Source organism: Homo sapiens, chromosome 1 (genome assembly GCF_000001405.40).
Source record: "Homo sapiens chromosome 1, GRCh38.p14 Primary Assembly".
Lineage (NCBI taxonomy): Eukaryota > Metazoa > Chordata > Mammalia > Primates > Hominidae > Homo > Homo sapiens.
Window position 1 is genome coordinate 185,980,796 of NC_000001.11, and position 25,205 is coordinate 186,006,000.

The 25,205-nt window shown below is 34.4% G+C and overlaps 1 protein-coding gene across 6 annotated transcripts in view; it reads left to right on the forward strand.

Annotated features, from left to right (window-relative positions):
• The window catches only part of HMCN1 (hemicentin 1), a 456,559-nt gene that overhangs the window by 246,405 nt on the left and 184,949 nt on the right, over window positions 1-25,205 (forward strand). For 5 of the 6 annotated variants that reach the window (NM_031935.3, XM_011510038.4, XM_024450118.2 and 2 more), the window contains 13 exons: window positions 183-278; window positions 1,467-1,594; window positions 3,374-3,518; window positions 6,637-6,749; window positions 8,693-8,852; window positions 9,480-9,648; window positions 12,387-12,514; window positions 14,020-14,292; window positions 16,634-16,729; window positions 19,250-19,444; window positions 20,503-20,633; window positions 20,799-20,946; window positions 22,923-23,049. In NM_031935.3, coding sequence (NP_114141.2) covers window positions 183-278; window positions 1,467-1,594; window positions 3,374-3,518; window positions 6,637-6,749; window positions 8,693-8,852; window positions 9,480-9,648; window positions 12,387-12,514; window positions 14,020-14,292; window positions 16,634-16,729; window positions 19,250-19,444; window positions 20,503-20,633; window positions 20,799-20,946; window positions 22,923-23,049 — 1,909 coding nt within the window. Of the gene's footprint in view, window positions 1-182; window positions 279-1,466; window positions 1,595-3,373; window positions 3,519-6,636; window positions 6,750-8,692; window positions 8,853-9,479; window positions 9,649-12,386; window positions 12,515-14,019; window positions 14,293-14,316; window positions 16,235-16,633; window positions 16,730-19,249; window positions 19,445-20,502; window positions 20,634-20,798; window positions 20,947-22,922; window positions 23,050-25,205 lie in introns of those variants that run through there. The other variant, XM_047431608.1, reaches the window with a different exon arrangement.

Consider the following 25,205-nt stretch of genomic DNA (forward strand, 5'->3'; position numbering starts at 1 on the left):
ACTGTCTGGAACTCTTTGTTAGCACTTATTTCACTGTGGTGTGATGGCTGGTTTCTGTGTATGTCCCTTCTTCAACCAGAAGGCAGTGCACACTTTCCATGCACAGATCTCAGCACTGTTTCTGGCACATAGTTAATTCTCCATAGATGGTATTGGATGAGTAAATGAGTTCTTCCTTTTAGACTTATGGGCAAGTGATAAAGGAACCTATATTTGTGAAGCTGAAAACCAGTTTGGAAAGATCCAGTCAGAGACAACAGTAACAGTGACCGGACTTGGTAAGATCAATTGAATGTCTACATACCATGGTCTTCAAAGTCATCAGACTTCTTTTACTATGTCATCTCTTGCCTGTGCCACTTAAAAAAAAACAAAAGATAAATGACTAATTACTAGACCAGCCTTCCCTTCCCTGCCACACTTCATATTTCTTAGAATGTTAGTCCTGGAAATAACCTTAGAGATTATCTGCTCCAAAATGAAGGGCAATTTAAATAAATTATTTCAAATCTAAATATGAATACACACATGCACACACACACACACACACACATATTAGAGTTGTGGTCTTTTCTGATTCCTTTTTTACATTTGTTATTTTAGTCAACATGGAATTATTTTTGTGTATGATAGGTAAAAATATAATATCATTTATTTCCAAGTAAGACATTTGATGCAATATCTATTATTGAATATTCTCTTCCCACTGACTAAAATACCCATTTGATCATGTAGTAAGTTTATGTCCCCATGTCTATTCCTTAGAATTCTATTTCTGAAATAGTACTACGTTGCTTAAATTATTATAGCATTTAATATGATTTTTATATCTGTCAGTACATGTTTCTCATTAATACCCTTTTACACAGTTTTTAAAATATGTCTTCATTAGTCTACATACACGTTTTCCAAGTAAAATCTCTTAGGGATTTTACTTTATGTTAAATTTATTCATTAATTTTTAGAGAAGGGCATATTTACAATACTCCTTTACCATTCCATCTAAGAGAGTCAACCTCATATTATTTGCTTGAGATATTACAACAGCATCCTTATTGATCCCATTTCTTCCAGTGTACTTACAGTTTTCAGATTAATATTTCCCCAGAAAATGATCCTGATGATTCCACTTTTCCACTTATAAATGCTTTCAGTTACTCTCCATTTGTCTACTGAATACATTGCAAATATCTTGGCTTGACATTTCAGGCCTTCCATGCCATAAGCATTCTTTTTTACCTTCTTTACTACTGCAGTAATGTATTACCTGTCCTTTTGCATTCCCCCTACTTAGAAGGAGACTTTAATTTTTACTTTCAAAATCATACCCATTTTCATGTAAATATTTTGTTTCTGAAAACTCAAACTTTTATAGCATAACTAACAGTCTTTGGGGCCTGTGAAGTGGCTTACCTTTCTTTTGGGTGAAATAGAGTTGAAAGTGCCTGTGCTCTCTCTTGATTTAGTTGCTCCACTTATTGGAATCAGCCCTTCAGTGGCCAATGTTATTGAAGGACAGCAGCTTACTTTGCCCTGTACTCTGTTAGCTGGAAATCCCATTCCAGAACGTCGGTGGATTAAGAATTCAGCTATGGTAAGAACATTTTAAATGCATGCATTCACATTCTTTTGTGAGTTTTCTTTTCTTTTTTTTTTTTTTTCTTTGAGACAGTTTCATTCTGTCACCTAGGCTGGAGTGCAGTGGTGGGATCTAGGCTCACCGCAACCTCTGCCTCCTGGGTTGAAGGGATTCTCATGCCTCAGCCTCCAGAGTAGCAGGATTACAGGTGACCGCCACCATGCCCAGCTAATTTTTGTATTTTTTAGCAGAGATGGGGTTTCACCACGTTTGCCAGGCTGGTCTCAAACTCCTGACCTCAAGTGATCCATCCACCTCGGCCTCTCAAAGTGCTGGGATTACAGGTGTGAACCACCACACCTGGCCCACATTCCTAATTTTCTTGAGTAAGAAGTAATGTATTCCAATCACCAAAAGTATCGATTTAATAAATATACAAAAATATGTTTTTATAAGTATATCAAAGCTTTTCTTTATTATTGACATATTTTTGTTATTCATATTATTTTGGCATTAATAAAATGGAGAAATAGTGTTGTAATTTTCATAATTTTATATTAAATTCAGTGTCACTAGTGAACTTTTTTCAGAATATAGAAGAACTGAAGCAAATATTGTTATTTTCATAGTACTTAAATATTTTTGTGCTCTTCTTTGTAGTACATTGTTAAACGTTAATATTCCCATAAAATTCTTCCATTTTATATATCAATCTTTATTATTATTAACTTTAAACATATCTCTCATTATGAACTATATAAAAATGTAGATATATATTGTCATTGTTTTTCGGTGTAAAATTTTTTTTATGAAAGGATGTGAAAAATGTTTACAGTTCTATGAAATTTTTTCTGTAAATAAGCTATCTATGGCAATACATTTTCTTCTGGCTCAGAGCATTTTTCTTTCCATTTTCCAGAATGTTGAGACTCACTCTCTTCTTGAAGTACTGATTAGAAGTGAATATGCTGAACCCAGGAGGCGGAGGTTGCAGTGAGCCGAGATCGTGCCACTGCACTCCAGCCTGGGTGACAGAGCAAGACTCCGTCTCAAAAAAAATAAAAAATAAAAATTAAAAAAAAGTGAATTGACTCCATCTAAGAAAATGTAAAATTTCATATTTGCATAAAATCCTGAGGAAAAATTAGCAAACCTCACTTAAAAATAAATGTCCTTGCAGAATGATAGTATTTGAGCACACAAGTATCTTATATGCAGTGTGGATGGATGATACAGATTTAGAGGTGATCATTCTTAACTGAAAATATTACCAGCCCTCCCTGACACAATTCAGATGTCACATATTGTCCACTAATATTTGCATCTGTTACCTAACAAGGGTGGGTGTTGAGGTTAAGTCCTTCTCCCTTGGCATGAGTAAGTGCCTATGTGCCAAAATAAAAATATCAAATGGCTTGCTAGTGGTAATAAGGCCTTCTTGGAAAAGAACACTTTAAGCCAAAAGTAAATATTATAGTGAAATTTGGGTTTTGAGTGATGACAAAATTTACAGGAACATTAAACAAGTGATGTCTATATCTTTCTTTTTTTAGCTTGTGCTTAACTCTCTGATAAATATTAATAGGTATAATATTTGGAGGTATATCAGGATTAAATTGTACAATCACACTCTTGGTAACATTTATGCTCATCGTTCTTCACTTAAGGACATTAGAATATTTTGTTTATAGACTTTTAGTAACCCAGTTGGGAAAAAAAGAAAAAGCAGGTTCATTTTTGACTCTCACAAATCCTTTCTTTTTAAATAAAAATTACCTTTTTTTTTCCTTTAAGTTGCTCCAAAATCCTTACATCACTGTGCGCAGTGATGGGAGCCTCCATATTGAAAGAGTTCAGCTTCAGGATGGTGGTGAATATACTTGTGTGGCCAGTAACGTTGCTGGGACCAATAACAAAACTACCTCTGTGGTTGTGCATGGTAAGAGACACACCCAATGTTATTGTTTCGAAACTGTGTTCAAAGTAGTTGTTCTTATATTTTAATCAAATAACTCTGTTCCTCTAATTACAATTAGATATCTCTCTTAATTGTTATTTCCTATTTCTTGAACAATATCTACATTGTTAATGTTGTTTCCAGATTTCCCTTTTTTATGTACACAAAAAGACATTCTTGGGAGTCACCAGCTGAGTCTGGCCAAGGGGTTTTGTAAGTGGTTTCTTAATTGTTAAAAGTGACCTTGGCTCTCAAAGAATTATGTTTAAAAATACATTTTAATTTCAGACAAGCTGAACTCATTATACCCTCCAGATTGCCTTTTCTTTTTGGATTGTGCAACCAGCATGTCCTTACTAATGACCCCTTTGTGCTTGAGCTAGAAATGACCTAAGCTTTTCTAAAGGTCACCTCATGTGCTCCAAACAATCTTCTTGCATGTTAAATAACTTAAAGGTCACAAATAAGAAGATCCAGAAGCAATCTTTTTTCCATTCGTGACTAACAGTAACCAGCTTTTTACATCTCAATAATTGACAGCTTCATAGATTAAGAAATTGTCATAACTTTTTAATATACTTTTTAAAGACTCTGCAACATTGCTTTTTTAAAAAAAACAAAAAAAACCATTGCATTAAAAATAGCTTTGTGTTCAGAGCTGAATATCTGAGGGAAGAAAGTACTACAAAATACTTATTTTTAGTAGTTGATTTATTCTTTATTTAGAGTGTGAATTGGAGAGTCCAGTAGTTTTCCAATTTTGTTTGGTCTATTGACAATATCACTGAATGCAGACCATTTTCTTTTGTTATGTCTGCTTCTCTTAAACAGCCTCTTCCACCTTTCTCAGTTTTACGTTAAGTATCCACCACATCACCTTAGATATTCTTGGAGAAATATTATTTTGAAGAAATACTAAAGCAACACTAAATTAGTTATAACCTAGAGGAATAAATGCATACTGACAGATTGGATATGGTTGTGTAACTATTTTTCAAGAAGACCAGACCATAGATTTCTTGAACAGTGCTTATAGACTAGTTTAAGAATCTAGTGTGGGAGTGCCCTCATGTTATCTCTCTTTGACTTCTAGTGACTGCCTAGAATATTGTGTTGGATAGGATTCTGAGGCTGAATTTTCACTTGGGTGAAAAAAATGACAGGATTAATTAGGATGTCTTTCCTATCAGAGGGGCGAGGATACAGACAAACGAATGATATGGTGTATTGTGATGCAAGAAGTTTTAATATTAAAAATTAAGAGATCATTTCACAAAATTCATTTGTCCATTTTAGTCCAAAATGAGTAACTAATTTAGTCAATGGAGTTAAAAAATTAGTGCAGCCATTTGGCATTAACTAAATCTTGCAGACATTTAGCAGATGGATGTGATGCAGCCTAGCAGCTCTCTATACCTCTGTATTTATGTTAATTAGCAGTGCTGTTCCTTCATCATTCTGTGTCTCCATTTTTAAGAATACTCATTAAAGGCTGTCAATCCAATTCTTAAAATAATGAATGAATACAAGTATAAGTGTAAATTAAAATGACAAAACAGTTTAATTGTCATATTGGTTTATATAGATTGACAATCTGAAAAGAAACTTCTCTTCCACACCCAAATGTCATTAGATTTCAAAACTGTTGCCTAAATTTGCCACTTTTCTTTATTGCTGTCAAACTCAGTATGTTTGTATCAAAATGGCTTATTCCATGTTGCCACAAATTGACAGCATAGTTGAAAGATGAATATTCCATGATGATTCTGAAAATTAATTTTCTTGCTTTAGAGAGTAGCCTGGCATTGTTGTTTAGGGCTGGGGATTTGCTGGCAATTCTTTAAGAATAAATTATCTAAAGAGTGAACCCAGCCATAGGAAAATATGAGTATGTAGCATATCTAATCTAAGCCTTCCAAGGGATTTTTTTGCACTGAGGTTTCTGGTGTCTCTAGTTCTAAAAAACTTCTCCAGAGTAGTTATGATAATCCTTGAAAAATCTGATTTTAAGGAAGAGAAATGATGAGTGATTGAGCTCCCGGGAGCAGTTCCAGTCTCATCTTTCCAGAGGATGGAAAGGAAACGCCTGTTATAGATTGGGCTTTTATTGTCTTCTTCTCACTATGTTAGGAACTTTCATATATGCAAGCTTCTTTAATCAAAATCACCACTATTTTGAGAACATCGAGTATTGATGATTTCTGTTTGTGAGAGTTGGTTCTGATTATGATTTACACAGAATGGAGGGATTAACCTTCCTTTTCCTTTTGCTTCTACTCATGTTAATTCTTCAGTTGCTTTCTAAAGTCAAAGGTGTTATTCTTCTTACTGAAAAATATTGACTTAGAATCCTTTTAGTCTTTTAAATGTAAAAGACTTGGCTGGGCGTGGTGGCTTATGCCTGTAATCCCAGCACTTTGGGAGGCTGTGGCAGGAGGATTGCGTGAGCCTAGGAGTTCAAGACCAGCCTGGGTAACACAGCAAGACCCTGTCTCAAAAAAAAAAAAAAAAAATTAATTAATTAATTAAATAAATTAAATAAAATAAAAAAACTCTTAAGATTTGAGTTTTACCAATGAATTCTTCTTAACAAAACAAAACTTTTTATCTAGGTTAAATGTAGTAACTCACTAAGTGATTCCTGAGTATAGATAGATATTTAATATGTAGTGGTTAAACAGCCCATTTCTCTGTATGTAGGCTTATGTCAGCTTATTGCAGCTTAATGAATAAAGGACAGTGATTGGAGACATGCATTAAATGTGTAGCTCTTAGAGTGCAATTCTGTCTTGGGTTTCCAGCAAAAAAAAAAAAAGAATTTTCTTCAGTCCTCTCTTATTTTTGTTAGGAAAGTCAGCTTATTAGACATAACTTACTACTTGATTTTAAGTTTTTATTTCATTTTTCAGATCATAACTACTTTATTGTCTTTGTTTAGCACACTCCTTTACAGAGATTATCCTACATTTTTATCAGAAAATGTTAAATAATTGCTCATTTTTACAAACATTGATGTTGTAATGAAAATGTTCAACTTTAAATAGATGATTTTAAATGGAAGAACAGGTGCTCAGATTCCAAATCCTACTTACCTTTTCAGTTCTGCCAACCATTCAGCATGGGCAGCAGATACTCAGTACAATTGAAGGCATTCCAGTAACTTTACCATGCAAAGCAAGTGGAAATCCCAAACCGTCTGTCATCTGGTCCAAGGTAAATGATACATCTAGTTATATTTCCTGAAGAGCAGAGTGTGAAGTTCACCTGCAAGTTATCCCTAGTCTTGAGCAGGAGGCTCAGGAGTGGGGCATGGAAAGAAGATAAGTTAATAAAGGATTTCCTATGTGGCTGGACAGATGTGCTAGGAACCCTCCAAGAAACCATATAGATGCACCTCAGAAGGCTCCCTCGGAGGGACAGGAAGTTGGGTATTTATACATGACATATTTCCTCCACTCCCCAGAGAAGCTTACACTGCTGCACTTGCTGGCTGTGGCCTTCTGGGGCTTTGGATAAAGCCCTGGTCCAAAAAAAAAAAAACAAAAAACTTAAGTGCAAGAAGGATGACCCTGGTGGCGCATGTGGAACTGACCAGTAGACCTGCGCTGAAATTAAGAGGGAAGAGGGCTTAGGGATGTGGCACGGGGTAAAAAAGGAACTGCTATGAGATGTAAAGTGCTTAGAAAAGTTCCCGGCACACAGGTTATGCTACGGACGTGTTCACTGTAATGTTGCTAATACCATTCAAGTCTCAAGTAGGTGATTTCACTAAAGGCCTTTTAAGGTTCCTTCTAAATGATATGACTGCATGGATTTTCCTGTTTATAAAGTTCTGTGGTATAGTCACAAATTCTATGTATGACTAAAAATTGTAAGACACTTACACAAACTAATTTATTCCCCTCTATGTCCCTGTCATGTTGTTCAGCTTTTACTTGTATTCTTGCAGTAAAGAAAAGCCCATTTCCTGAGGAAGTCCTTTCACCCTTGAACAGCCACAAAGATGGCACATTTTCTGTAAATGAATTTGAACCCAGCAAATACAAAGTAATGACATGCTAATGAAGTATGGCATTTGTATAATTAGCACTACTAGTGTTTTGCCATACCATCTAGTTTTATCTATCTAAAAATCTCTGAAATATGGAGAAGTTGGTGTTGACATTTGTAAATAAATTAAAAAGTTAGCTTTTTAAAAAAATTATTCTGGACAGAAAAGTCACAGAAGTGAAGCTGATCCCTGAACTGCGCAGTAACTAGCACTGAGTAGAAGTTTAATGCATTTTAAGGAAAATGTAAAAGTGAAATATTTCCAGGTTGATCTTTGTGCTGTGGCCAAGCACAGAGTAGTTAAGAACTTGGGCTCTAGAGCCTCGCTGCTGGATTTCAACCCCAGCTCTACCACTGATGGGCTTTGTGATCTTGGGCAAATTACTCTACTCCCCTCTCCCATGCTTTGATACTCTAAACTGCAAAATGAGGGTTGTGGTAGTTGCTACTCATAAGATTGATGTGAGTGTTAAAATTGTTAATTCAGGTAAAGTGCTCGAAACAGAGTCTGGCATAGCATAAGCATTCACTGTACCATCCTTATCATTGCTGTTCTCTGCCTTCTTAAGTAGCTCTGGAATGAAAATGACATGATATGGTATGGAGAAATATCACTTTTAGTACTTTTTTTTTTTTTTTTTTTTGAGATGGAGTCTCGCTCTGTCACACAGGCTGGAGTGCAGTGGCACGATCTTGGCTCACTGCAAGTTCCACCTCCCGGGTTCACGCCATTCTCCTGCCTCAGCCTCCCGAGTAGCTGGGACTACAGGTGCCTGCCACCTCGCCCGGCTAATTTTTTGTGTTTTTAGTAGGGACGGGGTTTCACCGTGGTCTCGATCTCCTGACCTTGTGATCTGCCCGCCTTGGCCTCCCAAAGTGTTGGGATTACAGGTGTGAGCCACCGCACCTGGCCCAATTTTAGTACTTTTATTTGTCTAATTTTTCTCATAAATAACTTTTTTCAAGTTAGCATTTTAAAATTTACTCTATTCCCCTCTTGGAGATGTTTTTTTCTCTCTATTCCTCTTCCAGACATTGTCACTCTTTTATAATCTTGAAACAAACAAACAAACAAAAAACCCTTTGCTTTTCGCCGTGTTTTGCAGAAAGGAGAGCTGATTTCAACCAGCAGTGCTAAGTTTTCAGCAGGAGCTGATGGTAGTCTGTATGTGGTATCACCTGGAGGAGAGGAGAGTGGGGAGTATGTCTGCACTGCCACCAATACAGCCGGCTACGCCAAAAGGAAAGTGCAGCTAACAGTCTATGGTGAGAGCTGGTGGAGGAATGGTTTTTATTGACATTGTCTATCTGTGCCAAAACTCACAGTTCTTTCCCCAATACTGTTACCAGATGCATGTACCCCTAAAGTGAACTGCTCCCCCAGATTTCTATTTTTTTTTTTTTTTTTTTTTACAGAAATGCATTTTTTACTGCCAACCAAAATCACTTCTACTTAGATTCTGATTTTAAGGAATGCAATTGTATAGTCTTTCGGAAAAATTTTATGGTGTTTTCCCAAGAAGTATGCTTATTGCACCCAACCCTCTTCAGTAACACCAGTTAGTTAACACTCCTAGCAAAGCCAAACCTCAGCTATGTCTTGGGTAGGAGTCTGCCTTGAGGGTTTACTTTTACAGATGTTAGACTCTGAGAGGGCATTGCAGCTGATCTCTTCATTGTGTTCTAAAAGGAATTACTGACTAGAGAAAGTTTTTCGTCATTTCTCTTTTAGTTCTCACAATAAATGTATTAATGGAAAGTTTTAGCTTATGTCCTGAATAGCATCTTTTTATAAATTACTTAAGAACATTAGTAGTCCACATTTTAGTGTAAATTAAACTGTGCTTTGTTTTCAATATACTGTTTCCCTTCCAAAACATGTGTTTATTTTAGTAAGGCCCAGAGTGTTTGGAGATCAACGAGGACTGTCCCAGGATAAGCCTGTTGAGATCTCCGTCCTTGCAGGGGAAGAGGTAACACTTCCATGTGAAGTGAAGAGCTTACCTCCACCCATAATTACTTGGGCCAAAGAAACCCAGCTCATCTCACCGTTCTCTCCAAGGTAGGAGATCTGGGATGAATTGCAACACATGAAAACATAATCAACCTCTTGGGACAGATGGCCATGCCTATTCAGGTTATCAAACGTCTCAAAAAATCACCTTTAAAATTGAGATAATTCACATGTACATCTGAGTCTACAGGAAGTATTTATAACACTGAATCATGCTTCTGACATCTTTAATGTCAGAAATGCTAACATTCAGCTTTGCCATAATTTTTCCCTGGTGCATTTTATAAGGTAGTTATTAAAATGGAGCAGAATTGTATGAGATTCCTGTTAGCCCAATGTGTAAGCACACATAGAATTCCATTAATCCCATAAGAGCAATAAAATACAATAGGCACACTCTAATGTCTAGGATTTGGCTTTCATTGGATGATTTTGTAAGTCTTCTTGCTTAAACCCTTATACAAATATGAGCACATTGAGACAACATACTGTATTTGATAGGCTGAGTGACATAACAAGAAGAATGCTGGAGCTTTAAAAGCACAACCTTTGTTGCCAACCAGCTATAAGTTTAAATTTCTCTCTTACACTTAAACTTTGCCTGAAACCTTTGGCAATTTTTAAGGGGTCTCTCTGAACCTCATATTTCCTATTTATAAAATGGGGATGATACTTACCTGAGAGAATTATGTAAGATAATGTACATTTCACATTCACTGTCTCTAGTTCTTGGTTACTATTTTAACCCAACATCAAGGCAAAAGTTACTGGTGAAATAAGAATTAGTCACTAGACTATAATTAACTTTCTGTTAGAATCATTGATATATAATTATGAAGATATAAATTCATGCTAGTGTCATTTCCCTACTGCCAGTGAAGGAAAAAAATTAAGAAGGACTTTATATAATTTTACTATTTGTTTGAAAAAAATATTTGTTTTGAATGTTTTTTAGTAAAAAATTACAGTAATACAGATCAGAAAGTTTTATTGTTCCCTTCCACAGTCGCAGTTTCTCCTCCCTCTTCCCAGGGGCAAACGCTGCCACAAGCTTGGTATGCATTCTACACATACATCCTTAAACAATGTAGATTACTGTTTTCTGTGTTTTCAATTTTGTTTTGTGTGTCTGTTTTCAATTTGCCATTGTAACAAATGGTATATTATTATTTTGTTACTTGCCTTATTAAGTCAACATTTATCTACTATTATACAAAGGGATTCCATTTATTCATTTTAACTGCTACATGCATATTCTACATTTTATTTTTTCATTCCTTTATTTATGGACATTCTGGTTTGTTTATTCTTTTTTTTAAAAAAAAAAACAAGGCTTTTCAGTGAATAGCTTTGTATATTTCTCTTTGTATACTCATGCATGACTTTCTTTAGGACCTATATACAGAGCTACAATTCCTGGTCAAAGCAAACTCCTGCTTCCAGCTTTATAGGCATTGCTAAATTGCTTTCCAAAGGGACAGTATTGGTTGTCCATCCACCAACAGAATATAAGTGTACCTGTTTCCATGTTCTAATTAGTGCATGGTATTGACTGACTGAGGAATTTTTGCCAATTGTTGGGTGTAAAATGGTATCTTGTAATTGTTTTAATTTTCATGTGATTAACTTCAAGTGAACTGAGAACACTTTTACGTGTTTGTTGGCCATTTGTGGTATTGGTGAATAACCTGTAAATCTGTTGCACAGTTTTCTGGTGACTTGTCTTTCTCTTATTGAATGTAGAAATTTGGTCTTTATTTTTGATAATAATCTTTTGTCTTTTATATGTGTTGAAAATATCTTCTCTCAGTCTATTTCTGTGGTGTCAAGTTTATGTGTGGTGTCTTTTGTTGTACAGAAGGTTTCAGTTTTTAAGGAGCACAGTGTATTAATCTGTTCTTTTTCAGATGTGCACTTTTTGTATCTTAACATGAAGAAAATTATAAACATAACCTTCAATGTTTAATTCTAATATTTTAAGTTTTCTTTTTCACATTTTGGACTTCAATCTATCTGAATTTTAAATTTTGTAAATAATATCAGGTAGTGCTCTAATTTTATATCTTTATTTTTCCATTTGGAGAGCCAGTTGCCCGACATCACTTTGAATAGTCAATACTTTCCTTACTTTTTGTAATATCACCTCTGATGTTACATATTACATGTTGAGTTTTCAAATATGCTTAGGTCTTTCTGGAGGACTCTGTCCTTAACTATTTATTCATTTGCATGTCTCTGGGCCAAGAGCACTCTGCATTTGACTTAGCTGTATAAGAAATCTTGGTACTAGGTAGGTCTACCTAGCCTCCCCTATCCTTTAAAACTATTTTAACACAATGCAATAACATTTTTATATGTAGGTCTGGCTCACCCAGCTGCATTATTACTCAATAGGAGGAATGTATTCAACTATTTTTGAGAACATGTATGTCTTCTTTTTCCTTTACTTTAACATTGTAGAAAATAATAATAAAACGTTCAAAATAAATACAAAGTTAACTCAAATATACATTTGCTTTATAGAGCAGAAAGAAGCACAATTATTTGGGAATTTCAGACCATTAAGATTTAAAAGTAAAATAAAACTGTTTTATGTTTGCAGGAAAATCATACACAAGATAATTATGAAAAGTCCTGGCTTTTAAGATGTATAGATGTACATTGCAGATGGGAAAATGGTTTAAAAAACTACTTGCAGAGTAGTAATTTCATACTGAAGTGTAGCTGCATAGGGGATATTTAAATTCTCCTCTTCCATGGTCTACTATATGGTTTCTTTCTTTTAGACACACATTCCTCCCTTCTGGTTCAATGAAGATCACTGAAACCCGCACTTCAGATAGTGGGATGTATCTTTGTGTTGCCACAAATATTGCTGGGAATGTGACTCAGGCTGTCAAATTAAATGTCCATGGTGAGTCTTGAAATGAGAACATATGACAACCCTGTGGACTGGCCACACAAAAACCCGTAATCCTAGTTTATTTGATAGTTAATTTCCAAATTGTATATAGAGTGATTAAAGAAAAAAATTCTCTAAAATCTGAGACTTGTGATTTTCTTTTGTTTACTCTGAAAAGTCTTCCTGCTATTTATAAACAATCTTCTGTTTCTTCCTTTATCAAATAAACTATGTTAAATTTTTGGATCTCAATTTTTCTACTGGTCAACAGTCACTTATTGCTATTATTGTTGATATACAGTAGAAAAAAATGTGTTTAAGCCGGTAGCATTTTATAGAAGCTAATACAAATTTCAAATAATAATTTATTAGTATTTAAATGATAATTTTCAATATTTAAAGATCTCAGCAACTGAAAAAATTGTTTCCTAGGACTCTTTGACTACAGCTCCCTAGTTAGTTTGCTTTATTCCTCCAATCCACATAGTCCATCCAGTTCTTCATTCATTCAACACACTGAGTGCATACTCTACACCAGGCATTGTTTAGATGAAAGATATTCAAATATCAGAAGAAATTAGCTGAGATAGGATTGATCTGATTTCACTCTCAGATGAATCACCACAATTGTGTCCCCATTGATTATGTGGTGTGAAGTCACACCAGAGTTCTGTCATTTACTAGCTCTAGGGCATCAGGCATATTCACTAACCTTTCTTATTTTTAGTTTTCCCTTTCATAAAATGATGATAATATTATCATAAACTATATAAGGTTGTTAGTGACAACCTTTAGAAAGTGTTCATTAAATATTAAGTTAAAGAAAAAAACATAGAAATTGTGCTTTTTAAGGATGTATGGTACATTAATTATAATTATGTCCTTGTGGCTCAACTTGATTCTACAGTGCACAATGCAAGTATGTGGAAATCAGGAATCATTTGCTGGTGTTTTGATAAACTACTGCATTTAAATTTCTGAAGGAAGTCGATAAAAGGAAGAGATAGAGGCTCTTTGTGGTTTTCTCATCTGAAATTAGCAAAAGATTTCATGAGAAACTTTTCTTATTGTTTCACTGATCCTTCTACAAAGAGAACAGAAACTGAGTACATGGAGAGAAATGCTTTTTGTCCCTTATATTATAGAAATTATCTGCATTGCCTTTTAAGGGAGTTTTTAAGCTAAAATTATTTACAAATTAAAAGAAGCCTAATATTTTAAAATGCTTTCTGTTCCTCAAGTTTGGAACTAAGAGTTTTATATTTATTATTTCCTGTAATCCTTGCAGTGTACTGGCATTACAGGCTATTTTCCCTGGATTATCAAGGAAACAGGCCTCAGGAAGTTTACTGACTTGTCCTAGATCACCTAGCTAGTGAATGATCCGAGCCTAGGTCCAAATTCTGAAATTATTTCACTTTTCCATGGCTGCCTGTTGATAAGGAGCTCTCGTTTAAAGTGAGTAAAGAAAGGAATTTGTGAAAGTTGGATTATTAATACCCAGTTATTATTTCTAGTTCCTCCAAAGATACAGCGTGGACCTAAACATCTCAAAGTCCAAGTTGGTCAAAGAGTGGATATTCCATGTAATGCTCAAGGGACTCCTCTTCCTGTAATCACCTGGTCCAAAGGTGGAAGCACTATGCTGGTTGATGGAGAGCACCATGTTAGCAATCCAGACGGAACTTTAAGCATCGACCAAGCCACGCCCTCAGATGCTGGCATATATACATGTGTTGCTACTAACATAGCAGGCACTGATGAAACAGAGATAACGCTACATGTCCAAGGTGATTCTTGACACAGGAAAATATATGTATGTAGGGTGGGGAGTGAGAGAAAAGCCCTAGAGCTAAATAGATTATCTTCGATAATCTTAAATGACTTCAGAAAGAGTTCTATATAACTTTTGTGACTCTTTAACTTTGAAAGAACCATTCCCAAAAGAAATGAAACATACCATTTCTAAACCTGCATCAATTTTTGTATGTTTACTTTTGAAGCAAAGTTGCCATGGATCATGTAGAAAACAGAAACAATCCTAGATGATGCCCCACCCACTATTTTTGGTTTGGGAGACATTGTGGGAAGAGTGAGTTGGAGTAGGTTGTCACCTCACAGTGCTGGGGTGCACTCAAAATAGAGCCCTAGGAAATCTAGGTCCACTACTTCTCTATTAATACTGTATTTGCTTTGAAGATTTAAAGATCAATGTTTATTTCTTCAAGCAACAAATACTGATCGAGCTCTTGCCAGGCATCTGTCATGTTTAGGCGGTGATGAGAAAGTAGTGACAAAGGCAAAACCCCTGCTTTCATGAGCTGTTATAGTGTGAGTAGACAGAAAACAGGCAAACAAATAAACAAGAAATACGATTGTGAAAAGTGCTTTGTGGGAAATTAAAATAAGACAATGGTCCTGAGAGTTGCCTATGTTAGATTAGACTATCAAGCAGGACTTCTCTGAGAAGGTGATCTTTAGAGTGAGATCCTCTGGACTGGAAAGAACCGGCCACATGAAAATCAGGGGGAAGAGCATTCTTGTCAGAGGGAATACTAGTACAAAGACAAGAAGAAAAGATAAGCAGGTATGGTATTTAGCACAGTATTAGATAGTTCTTAGCGCTGTACTGAGTATTAGTATTAATTAGTACTACTACTGTTCTAAGTATTAGTACAGTACTAAGGTACCTGGCCCATTGTAGTTTTGTTGGATGGTTGGCTAGGACACTAATGAAGAAGTTTTCCTGTTCATTCCACAAACTTTATTACATATTCATGTTTATAGTTGAATGGGACAGATAATAATTCATGAAATAGTCTCATGACTATGTAATTAGACATTGGTTATGCCCTCATGAAATGGTGGAAAACTCTATATGAGCTTTTAACAGAAAGACAAATCAAACAAGGCCTCCCTTGGGGTAGGGACATGTCAGTTGAGATTTGAAGGGTAGGTAGAAGTGAGGGGCAGCCCTTCCAAGATAATGTGGAGAGAACTTTCCAGGAGAAGGACATAGAATATGAAGAGAAGAGCATGTAATATTTTGGAGACACTGGGATCAGTCATCAATCAGTGAAGGCCAGCTGGCTGCATTCCAGACTGAGGGCTGAGTAATATGTGATGAAGCTGGAGATGTGGTCATGGGTCAGGTTATCCAAGACCTAGGAAGCCAGACTAATGAAGTTAGACTTTATTCTAAATGCAATAAGAAGACTTTAAGAAGTTATCGTTGGGAAAGTGATGTGGCAGATTTCCAGTTTTAAAAGTCACTCTTTTGGGAGGGAATCATTCGGCTAGAGAAGACAAGGGAAACTGGTATAGACTATTGTAGTAGCCCAGGTAAAAGATGATGGTAGTTAGAATGGGGAAAAGAAGGGAATGGGCTAAAAAATAAATAGGAAAGGAAATACTCGGGACATGGTGACGGATTGGATATGAGAGTGAAGGAGATAGAGTTCTCAAGAATAACTCCCAAATTTCTTCATGAAATGAATGGATGATGGAGCTGTTCAGAGACATGGGATGCACTGACAGGGGGCACTTAGGAAAGAACAGGTCTGAAACTTTATCTTATAGACAAAATGAGTACAAGTAATGATTTGAATTAGATAAGTCAATGATGAGATTTGTGTTTCAGAGAGAGTATTCTGGGAACTGTGCAGAATATCAATCTAAAGGGGAACATGTTTGAGAAAAGGATCCCCATAAGAAGTCTATTGGAATAGCCTGGTAAGAGGAAATAAGGGTTGGAAATAAGCAATGGTCTTAAGCATAGAGAGGAAGACACAGATATGTGAATATATGTGGTACTATGTGATTGGATATGGAGGTCAAGCTTAAGGGAGAAAGAAAAATGACTGGGTGGACCATAGTGCCTTCATTGAGGGAATAAGGGAACAGAACAGGATTGTGGGAAGCATAAAATAATGAATTTTGTTTGGAGAATTTTGAGTTTAAGGCACTGGGTGACGTCTAGGTAGAAATGTTTGGCAACTGGAAATAGGAATCATATTTAAAAGAAGAATCAGCAGAGATAGCAACTCATCAGTGCAGGTAGTTAATTGTGCCTTAGGAGAGTTTGAAATTGCTCAAAGAAAGCCTGTGATAATGCATTTATTTTCCTAATAGAACCACCCACAGTGGAAGATCTAGAACCTCCATATAACACTACTTTCCAAGAAAGAGTGGCCAATCAACGCATTGAATTTCCATGTCCTGCAAAAGGTACGTAATACTGAAAGATATAGGCATTGGCATAATGTTATATGGTTTCAGAATGCTATATTGAACCCAAATTGTCATCCTTATAAAATTCCACATCAATCCTTGGTAGAACATTTGAGCATAATAGAAACTAACCCATTTTTCAGATAACAGCTCTTTGAATAAGTATTTTTTTTCCTTGCAGGTATTTTATTTCTTTCAATGTAAAGACTTTCCATTCTTTCAAACTTGCCTAGTCTCACATGTTTTCCAGTTCAGATCCTTCCTGCTACTTCTTATTTCATTCTTTTTTTTTTTTTGGCAGGTTTTGTCTTTACAATGTGATAGCTGGAGCTATTCAAAATATTCCATATTTATCTCAACCAGGCAGAGGTATAATTAGGACTATTCCTTTGTTTGTTCTGGACACTTCTAAAAACCTCTTTTCCTAAATCTACTCTCAACTGGTAATTCTAGGGCCAGCTTGTAAATTGTCACTTGGAGGTTTATTCAAGCCCTTCCTTTCCTTGAATTTCTGGGCTTTCTATCCTACCATGTTTTCTGCCAGGAGATTGATATTATTTCTCCTCAGGGGAATGTGAAAAGGACTGTCACTTTCACCCTAACTCTGCCAAGTAGGTAATTAAGAACATCCTCTCTTTCAAGTGTGTATTCATCAGCAGTGATTTAAAGCAGGTTTGTATGAGTTCTGGCAAAGTCCAAGCAGTAGTCTTTCCATAACCTCCTGAATGCCTCCAGGTGGCTGGTACCATTTGTGCCCCCACATGTGCCTTTTAGTAGTTGTTCCTGGGCAGCGGCAACTGAAGGCCCTCATGGCTGTCTCTGTTTCTGTGGCAAGCTTTTCAATCTCAGCAGCAGCTGCCATGATTACTTTATTTTCTACCTATATTAAAACAAAAATGTCTTTAACAAGCTTTTCAGATACCTAAAGAATTAACAATAACTATTCCAAGAGTCACTGAGAATTAGGGAGGTGAAGCCTGGAAGGAGGCCTTCTTTAGAAGGGTTTAAGCTCAGGGAAGTACCATGAGTGTTCACTCCCACTGGACCCGCTGGTGGCAGTGTTGCTTCTTGTTCCCCACTGGATTCCTGACTCCCAAGCTAATTTCTTGTTTTGACTTCCCTTTTCCACCTAGAAAAACATCTCTTCCTTACTTCCTCATTTTCACCTGGAATATAATGCTTGAATTCATTTAAAGTTACTAGACATCGTTTTCATTATCTTTTACTATGATTTTCATCTTGCTCATGGTTGTTCTATCATTTAAAAATTAAAGACAATGCAATTTCTTTCTTTTGTTTGTTCATTTACATTTTTATTAACAAGTATTAATTAAGTAGTCTGATTAAAGTTCATAAAGGAATGACTGAGATGTAAGGAGATGATTACAGCCTCCTTTTTTCTTGACAACATGGACAGGCAACTGGAGTCTATCAGTTTAACCTTTTTGTTCTCATCAGTCAACATTATACTATGAGCACAATTAAATAGGTCAATCTTTAATTTTTTTCCATAAATATAACTTTCATAGTCACTGTTTAAGCCTTTAACTCAATTTAAGTGTAGCTTCAATGACATATTCTACATATTTCTGCTATTCTTTTATATATATATATCCTGGGTTATATGTTCATCTTTTAATATTTTACTGTCATTTAATACAGGATTATTAACAATGTCTTATGTAATCATGTAATTTTTATTTAATGTTTTTTATTATTATTATGGAGATTAAATAATTTTTTTAAATGCTTAGAATAATACCTGGCAAAATGTTTGCTAAATAAATACATTGTTAGTATAGATTTAATGTTTACTTATTTCCAATATTCCTTTTGATTCTATTATACACTCAAAGATTGTTGTATCATTTTTTTTCTCCAAGAGTACATCATTTCCATTCATTCTGTTAGTCATAAATGAATCCAGGAAAGCTATTTCTCAACTACCATTTCAAGAATTGAGCTATTATCCTTTGTTTAACAGAATCAGATCTCCAAAAGATGCATGAACAGTAGAGTTTCCTCATCTTTGCAATATCAGGCCTTTTTAAAAAAGGGAATTATAAAACATCGTGTCTCCATATCATATATACACTCTATTTGGTTGGCAGTCTTCATGTTGTATTTCTGTGATGGTGTCTTATTTTTGCTCTGTCTTTATTTCACCCTAAAACTCTCCCCACATCCAGTCCGTAGGATTAATATAGTTCCTGCCCTGCCAACAAATCACTGTGAACTCACTAGGAAAATGCTTTACTTACTATCATCTGAATGTTTAGATAAAAACAACTTTGTTCAAACTTTACCATAGGTCTCTTAAGACCCACCGGGATTTAGAGGCATTAACTAACATAATCTTCATATTTCCATGCCAGGAGAAATATCTTGAAGGTAGCATAGGACCTAAGGTTATAAATTATTGTCATAACAAAAACTTTATTTCTCTTTGATATATTTGATATTTAATAATTTCTGTTTTTGTTGTAAAATATCACAAGACTTTAATTTCTTATTTAGGTACCCCTAAACCAACCATCAAATGGTTACACAATGGTAGAGAGTTGACAGGCAGAGAGCCTGGCATTTCTATCTTGGAAGATGGCACATTGCTGGTTATTGCTTCTGTTACACCCTATGACAATGGGGAGTACATCTGTGTGGCAGTCAATGAAGCTGGAACCACAGAAAGAAAATATAACCTCAAAGTCCATGGTAAATGTAGCTAAAATCATGTAACTGACTGTTTGCCAGTCTCCAGTTCTTAAATGTTTAAATTATTCTCTCAGTGTAATATCATTTAATATTAATGTGAATAGCAGTATTACCAAACAGAAATCTGGTGGTATGATTGCATTTATTATTTGATTTAAACTTTCATGTAATTTTTTATTGTGACTTTACATCATTCAAAATTCAAATGGTAGAAAAAGATACATAGTAAAAAGTCTCCTGACCCTGTGCTGAGCCATCTACTTATCCTCTATTTGGGATAAAGGAAAGTTATCAGCGTGTAGGGTGTGTGTGTGTGTGTATGTGTGTGTGTGTGTGTGTGTGTGTGTGTGTGTATGTATGTGTCTTCCCGGAGATATTTTATGAATATAGAAAGAAATACAATGTTTTATCCTCTTTTTATTTATAAAACGTACACATATAATAGAACATTATATTCACATTTTTCACCTTCTCTGTCTCACTAAACAATCTATCTTGGATTTTATTTAATGTTCCTAACTGTATAGCATCTCATTGTGTAGATACACAACGATTTATTTAACCTTCCTCTGTTAATGATGAGCGTGTAGGTTATTAACAGTTGTTTTTATTAACTTTAAATGAAAATACTGTATATATGCCATTTTGCAAAAGTGAAAGTGTATATATATTTTAAAATTTGATGAATATTGGTTTCTTTAGACACTGGGCAATATTCACCCTCATCAACAAAGTAGTGAGTCTCATGTGACTTAATTAAGACCCCATAAGCTTGTATTTTGAGTAATATGTGAAATAAAAGTAGATTCTCCCTTAAGCTTATCCCAAATTTTATCCTAAATTTAAAACCTTGAAATAATAAAAATCCAATAAGGGTTGTTATTATAAATACATTGGTCAAAACTTTTTAATTTTATAACAAAGCATATGCTTAAATATGTCTAGCTTTTCTAGCCATCAAATATTTCAGAATTTGCTGTATAAAGGCCCTTATAAAGAAACTCTATAAATAATATTTATTATGAAACTAGCTAGCTATGACTCCTCTCTTTTTGCAGTTCCTCCAGTAATTAAAGATAAAGAACAAGTTACAAATGTGTCGGTGTTGTTAAATCAGCTGACCAATCTCTTCTGTGAAGTGGAAGGCACTCCATCTCCCATCATTATGTGGTATAAAGATAATGTCCAGGTAAATAGAGTCATCCAAATACGTGTAATTCCTTGCCTCTGCATCTGAAGTAGGTTGTTCAGATGTTCATTTCTTACTACTAATAATATAAACATTCTACTTCAATTTTTAATTATGCATTTTTATTAGGATTGGAAATAACACTGACCATTTTGGCCCTTAAAGGTGACTGAAAGCAGCACTATTCAGACTGTGAACAATGGGAAGATACTGAAGCTCTTCAGAGCCACTCCAGAGGATGCAGGAAGATATTCCTGCAAAGCAATTAATATTGCAGGCACTTCTCAGAAGTACTTTAACATTGATGTGCTAGGTAAGAAATACATCCTTTTAAAAAACTACAATTCAGAAGCATTTCTTACCTAAAATAGAGCTGACTATATGAAAAAGTAAAGAGAAAAAGATAAATTGACAGAAAAACTATAGTTTCATTCTATTATTTTTGTCCTTATTATTTGTTAACCAGAACCATATGATATAGAAATTTTAAAGGGTTTCATTATTTATAATACAGAGATGCCTTTGAATCATATATACAGTAGTATCAAATACTCAAAAGTGGTACTGCTATCTTGTGTAAAATAAGAAATTATTACTCTTGTCAATTTCTCCAGTTAAGTAGGCACGACATTCTTTGGGAAGTGGCTATAACAGGGTGATACAGAATATATTACATTCATGCTGTGCATATCCTGAAGCTGCTAGGCTGTACTTGAACTGGAAAAGGTAGTAAATCCACTTTCCCCTGCATTCTAATTAACTCTTGTAACTAAGTCAGTCCTGATTCTAATTAAGTAGGTAGCAGCTGTAATAAATTAGGATGTAAGACATTTTAATGGTAATCATAAATTTAAAATTTTATAATTCTAGTTTGTGAAATTATATTTGCCATTTAAAATTCACTTTGTGATAAAATGACATTCTCCCTTTTCAATATTTTGCTCCTTACAATGGGCACATAATTTGTAAGTCTTGAGTAGAAGTGAGTGGAGGAATGATACTGCATAAAAATTATATTCATAAACTGCTATAACATACAAATAATTCCTCCCATTAGGCTTCTCAAAGCCTGAAATTTTTCTTCCACAAAATCACCATTATTATATTTAAGTATGAGTTATAAAAACAAATTACGAAATCATTGTTATCATGAGTCTTGCTGACATTATTTCTCCTGGTACTTGTCCGCTCCCTTGACTGAATTCCATCTGTGTGCTGATGACTCCCAATTTTTTATCTCCAGTTCAGACTTCTTCCCTGAGCCTAGGGATATATAGCTAATTTTCTCCATAGTATTGTGACTTGAATACCTTAGTTTTATATCAAACAAAAAGGTCCCAGTGAAAGCCAGTTCTGGTTGCCTTCCTTGATCCCCAGTCTAGGGACTGGTACCTCCATCCACTCACTTGGTTATTCCAGAACCTCCAGGTTCTCACTACTACCTTCTCCCCAACATTTCAAATCTACATATTTCCTGTTATGTCTACTTCCTAATTCTTTGGTGATCTACTTCTTTTCATCCTTCTGTGAAAGTCTATCATCATTCATGAGCTGAATCAATGTAATAGCCTAAGGGCTCACCTGAATCCACTTTTTGCTACTGTAATCCATTCTTCACTTAGGAGTGTGTGGTCTTAAAACACAAATATGATTACATCCCACTCCTCCCCTACTGAAATCCTTTAGTGGCTGGTCATTTTTCTGAGGATGAAGACCAAGCACTTTAACATGGTGTGAAAGGGGACGACTAGACAGGGAAGTATCCAGAAGCTCTTTAATAAGCTTGATAATCCTGAGAATAAAAACTAGCACATTATTTTTCATGTTATATTGCATACCAAATTTACCATCTTAGTTGTTTAAAAGACAAAGGTAATATATTTCAAGTAGCACCACACTATATGTAGAATTTGAATGTTATAAGAGTGATGTTAATTGTCATTCATTATCCAAAATGTATAGCAGTAGCAAATTACATTTGCATCACTGATCACTTACATTCTAAACTACTTTTGCATATGAGTTTAATACACCCAAAAATGAACCCTATACTGTCATAATTCTTGAAGGTAATTGTCTTGCTAGCAAATATTTTATAAATATGTTTCTACATTTAAATTTAACATTTGGGTACACAGAAATGATATGAAAAAGTATTGTTGTGTGGTATTTTATTTTTGACATTAAGATCTTGTTGAAATACTATAGAAATCATTGACTGCTTTCTAACCCCATGCCTGCTCTTTTTGCTGAGTAACAGAGTTTCATAATACACTGTCTTTGTTCAAGTTCCACCCACCATAATAGGTACCAACTTCCCAAATGAAGTCTCAGTTGTCCTCAACCGTGACGTCGCCCTTGAATGCCAGGTCAAAGGCACTCCCTTTCCTGATATTCATTGGTTCAAAGATGGCAAGTGAGTATCTTTTCTGTATTTGTTGCAAGGTTTCAATGATAGGAAAAAGATGTGAAAAATGCATGTGGATTTTCTCCCTCTTAATTATTTTATTACATAGAATATTATTAAATGAGCATACAGGAAAAACAATATTGCTCAAAAGCTAGTCTGAAAGTCTTGTAATTTTTTCATTCTTTTGAATTCAAAGCTCCCTATGAATGTTGGGAATTCATTTTAGAAATATAGAGGAACTCAAATTTAATATACACTAAATATCCTCTGTCTAAAGACAGTGAAAAATGTAAGATCTAAACATGAGATGATTTTCTGTTTACATTGAACTGTCTTATTAAAAAGGAAAATGTGTTTATGACAGCAAAATGAATACTAAGCTAGTTCTGTGTATGGGCAAAAAGGAACTACAGATATTTCTCCAACTCCAGATCTCAAGGACTGCTGAGGTGTGCCTACATCGAAATGGCTGCAGTGGTCTGTATTGGTTGTGAGAATTTATTTCTCAAATGGTGGTTACAGTTTGTGTATTATAGTTTCTGGGAACAGATATCTAAGGCCTAAGTAGAAAATAGTCAAGATTTGTGGTATATAAAATAAAAGATTGTATTCAAGCTTTTTATAAATCACTAATAAATACAAACAGCAAAATAGAAAATATATGGAGGATATGAACAGGCAGTTAAAATATACTAAGGCAATAAACATATTAAAAGATACCATCAATAATTTGATGAATAATAAAATTTTGTTATTTACAGCTCATATAGGCAAAAAAGCAAAGGTTTGAAATTATCAAATGTTGACTAGAGTATGGGAAAGCAAGATACAGTGCTCTGATGGGGAGGATGTAAATTAGTACCTTAAAAGGCAACTTGTTGATATCTGTTAAAATTTGATGCACATACACTGTGATGCAGTATCCAGGAGATGGAAGTAGTCATGCATATCCACAGAGAGGCTTGTACATTGATATTTACTGCAACACTGTGATGGCAAAGATGGGAAAGCTGGCTAAAACCCAACATTGGGAGAATAGGTAGATACTTTACGGCATAATCATATTATGGAACACTGCTCACCAATTAAAAAGAATAAGATCAAGTTATGTGTACCAAAAATATCTCCATACCTGTTATAGAGTGAAAGAAAAGCAGAACAATAACCTGACACCATTGATATATTAAAACTTTAGATATCTTTGGGAGTATATTTATAAACATTTTTGTTTATAAATGTTTATAAATAATTTTTTAATTGTTTAAATTGTTTATAAATGTTTATAAACAATTTTTTAATTGTTTATAAATGTTTATAAACAATTTTTTAATTGTTTATAAATGTTTATAAACAATTTTTTAATTGTTTATAAATGTTTATAAACAATTTTTTAATTGTTTATAAACGTTTATAAACAAATTTTTAATTGTTTATAAATGTTTATAAACAAATTTTTAATTGTTTAAATTGTTTATAAATGTTTATAAACAATTTTTTAATTGTTTATAAATGTTTATAAACAATTTTTTAATTGTTTATAAATGTTTATAAACAAGTTTTTAATTGTTTATAAATGTTTATAAACAAGTTTTTAATTGTTTAAATTGTTTATAAATGTTTATAAACAAGTTTTTAATTGTTTAAATTGTTTATAAATGTTTATAAACAAGTTTTTAATTGTTTAAATTGTTTATAAATGTTTATAAACAATTTTTTAATTGTTTAAATTGTTTATAAATGTAAAATAAAAACAAAAATGTGTTTAATTTTGTTAAAAACAAAAATGTTCATAAATGTAAAAAACATGGAAGAATACAAATCAGACTGATAAAGAGAAGTCTGGAAAGCAGACTCACATTAGGGGCCACAGACCAAGGATACTTTTTCTCATCATAATGCTTACTTTTTTGTTTAAAATTTTATGTTACTTGCACAATTGACAATCAATAAAAGTTTCAAAGTTACTTAAATTCGAGCAGCATATTATCAATTATTTCTTTAAAAACTTAAAATGTGGCCAGGCACCGTGGCTCACGCCTGTAATCCCAGCACTTTGGGAGGCCAAGGCAAGCGGATCACCTGAGGTCAAGAGTTCAAGACCAGCTTGGCCAACATGGTGAAACTCCGTCTCTACTAAAAATATAAAAATTAGCCATGCGTGG